The sequence below is a fragment of the Homo sapiens genome, chromosome 7, assembly GCF_000001405.40.
Source record: "Homo sapiens chromosome 7, GRCh38.p14 Primary Assembly".
Taxonomy (NCBI): Eukaryota; Metazoa; Chordata; class Mammalia; order Primates; family Hominidae; genus Homo; species Homo sapiens.
Genome location: NC_000007.14, coordinates 5,114,993 through 5,118,088, shown reverse-complemented (window position 1 = coordinate 5,118,088; position 3,096 = coordinate 5,114,993). Strand labels below are relative to the sequence as shown.

The window sequence follows — 3,096 nt, the reverse complement described above, 5'->3', positions numbered from 1 at the left end:
TGGTGGCCATCCCCAGCGTCCTCTGGCCGACCATGCATTGCAGGGCCTCCTGCATGTCCCGGTTCCGCAGCGTGTAGATGGCCGGGTACAGCAGCGGGGTGACGTTGATATAGATGAGCGAGACCAGCTTGTCCTCCTCAAGGGAACGGCTGTTCAGGGGCCTGGCATACATGGCCGTGGCACAGCCGTAGTGGAGCACAGCCACGGTGAGGTGGGACGCCACCGTGTTGAAGGCCTTGCGGCGGCCCGCGACCCCCCCAACACCCAGGATGACCACCAGCACCCGGGTGTAGGAGAGCAGGATGAGGAGCAGGGGTAGCACCAGCAGCAGCAGGCAGGCCACCAGGAGGACGCGCTCCTGCAGGGCCCGGCACCCGCAGGCCAGCACCAGCACGGCCGGGAGGTCGCAGAAGACGTGGTTGACCAGGCCGCCGCGGCAGAAGGGCAGCTGGAAGATGACCGCGGTGAGGCCCAGGGCCAGGACAGAGCCACCCGCGCAGCAGGCGGCCAAGCAGGCCCCAGCAGACGTCCATGGTCATGAGCCGAGGGTAGCAGAGTGGATGGCAGATAGCCAGGTAGCGGTCTAGGGCCATGGCAGCCAGCAGCAGGCACTCGGAGCCCCCCAGGGCCACGAAGAGGCCCATCTGGGCGGCGCAGGTAGAGGGGTCCACAGCCTGGCCCCTGGAGGGCAGGAGGAAGCCGGCCAGCATGCGTGGCGTGAGCACCAGCGTGTAGGCTGCCTGCGCCGCGGACAGCGCCCCCAGGAAGAAGTACATTGGCGAGTGCAGGGCGGGGTCCACCAGGGCCAGGCCCAGGATCAGTAGGTTCCCCGCCAGGGTGACCAGGTAGAGCGGCAAGAAGAGGACGAAGAGCAGCACGCGGAGCCCCGGGGGCCACACGGAGAAGCCCAGGATCACGAACTCCTGCAGGGCTGTCCCATTGGACTCAGGCCAGCAGCTCGCGTTGGGGTCTGCGGCAGGGACAGGAGTGCAGGCTGGAGAGGTGTCACTGTGACACCTCCCTCCTAGACACCTGTATGCCTTTTGCCTGTCCTAGGCCCCAGAACCCCACGCCCAGCCTTCTGAGGGCTACCCTTTCTCACTCTGTCCCCACCTTCTCCCAGGAACCCAGAATCCTCCCCTCAATCCATCCTGGGCACCCCTCACTTCCCCCAGTCCAATGTTCCCCGGAAATTCAGATGGCCGGAGCTGCTGTGCTGTGCCCTGCATGCTTCCAGGCACCCAGGGGTCTCCTTCAGACGTAGCCACCCACCCTCCCAGTTCTATCCCACCTCCTAAAACCTACCTCGTCCATACCTAGGAAGGCAGGCATCCTGGTTCCCAGCCTACAGTGAGAAGGAAGAGCTGCAGCCGGCGGGGAAGGACTGGAAGGAGTCTGGGTTCTCCCAGGTGATCTCTGCGTGGAGTGGGCTGGTTCTGAGCAGCAGGAATGACCAGTCCTGCAGACAGAGCCACGTGGGTGAAGTCTCAGAAGCAGCGGGAGAATCCTCTGTGCACAGAGGCTGCCTGACCCCCTGCACACCTCCCGGCCCTGAGCTGATAGAACAGTGCATCCATCATCTCTCCTGCCCTGGGATGGGTGCTTTATGATTCCCTTTTCTTCCCCTTTGCTGGATTCAGGACAAACCCATTGCAATCCTGGGTTCATCATTTCTCCCTCAGTTGCAGAGAAAATAACTACCAGGGAAGAGCATCCACCCTCTCCACGGGGGCAGCCGCCTCATGAGGAAGAGCAGCCTTCACGAGTCAGAGCAGCTGCTGCCATGGTCATGAGGAGAGTTCCAGTCCTTCCTCTTAGATGCAGAATCATATATCATCATCATTATTGAGACTGGGTCTCGCTCCATTGCCAAGGCTGGAGGGCAGTGGTGTGATCTTGGCTCACTGTGCTCTCCGCCTCCTGGGTTCAAGCAATCTTCCCATCTCAGCCCCCCAGGTAGTTGGGACCGCAGGTGAACACTGCCTCATCTAGCTAATTTTTCTAATTTTTATTTTTTGAGACAGTGTCTCATATCACTCTGTTGCCTAGGCTGGAGTGCAGTGGCGCAATCTCAGCTCACTGCAGCCTCTGCCTCCCAGGTTCAAGCGATTCTCCTGCCTCAGCCTCCCGAGTAGCTGGGACTACAGGCATGTGCCACCACGCCCAGCTAATTTTTGTATTTTTAGTAGAGATGGGGTTTCACTATGTTGTCCAGGCTGCTCTCAAACTCCTGACCACAGCTGATCCGCCTCACCCTCCCAAAGTGCTGGGATTATAGGCATGAGCCACCGTGTCTGCCCTAATTTTTCTATTTTTTGTTGAGACAGGGTTTCGCCATGTTACTCAGGCTGGTCTTGAACTCCTGCACTCAAGCGATCTGTCTGCCTCGGCTTCCCAAAGTGCTGGGATTACAGGGGTGGGCTACTGCACCCTACCTACTTTTTTTTTTTTTTTTTTGAGACAGGGTCTCATTCTGTTACCTAAGTTGGAGTGTGGTGGTCTGATCACACAGCTCACTGCAGCCTCAACCTCCCAGAATGAGGCAGTCCTCCTGCCTCAGCCCCCAAGTAACTGAGACCATGGGTGCCTGCCACCACACCTATTTTTTTTTTAAAATTATTTGTAGAAATAGGGTCTCCTTATATTGCCCAGGCTGTTCTCCAACTTCTGGGCTCAAGTGATCCTCGTGCCTCAGCCTCCCAAAGTGCTGGGATTACAGGTGTGAGCCACCACACCCAGCCCATGTTTTAAAATTTTTAAAAACTTCTTAACATTTTTTTAAATGCTAGAAGACTTTATAACTTTTTTAATTTTAAAAAGCTTAATTTTTAAAAAAAGCTGAAGCATTTTTAAAATTTAAGGAACTTAAAAAAACAAAATTTTTTTAATTTTAAAAAACTTAAAAATTTTTAATTTTAAAAAAACTTTAAATTTTTTTAAGGTAAAAAAAAAAAAAAAGCTTTGTAGAGATGGGACTCTAGCTGTGTTACCCAGGCTGGTCTCAAGCTATGGGCTTCAAGTGAAACTCCTGCCCCAGCCTCTTGAGTAGCTGGGACTACAGGTGTGTACCACAATGCTCAGTTAATTTATTTTATC

At 55.2% G+C, this 3,096-nt stretch overlaps 1 pseudogene, besides 1 other annotated feature; it reads right to left on the bottom strand.

Annotated features, from left to right (window-relative positions):
• OR10AH1P (olfactory receptor family 10 subfamily AH member 1 pseudogene) lies at window positions 1-999 on the bottom strand (annotated as a pseudogene).
• Window positions 9-167: a silencer, noted in NCBI's record as "fragment chr7:5157553-5157711 (GRCh37/hg19 assembly coordinates)". NCBI's record gives its function as "represses an EF-1alpha promoter that drives an FKBP-Casp9 reporter gene in an ReSE screen in both phorbol 12-myristate 13-acetate-treated (for megakaryocytic differentiation) and untreated K562 erythroleukemia cells {active_cell/tissue: K562 | K562(+PMA)}" and the evidence as "EXISTENCE:reporter gene assay evidence [ECO:0000049][PMID:32094911]".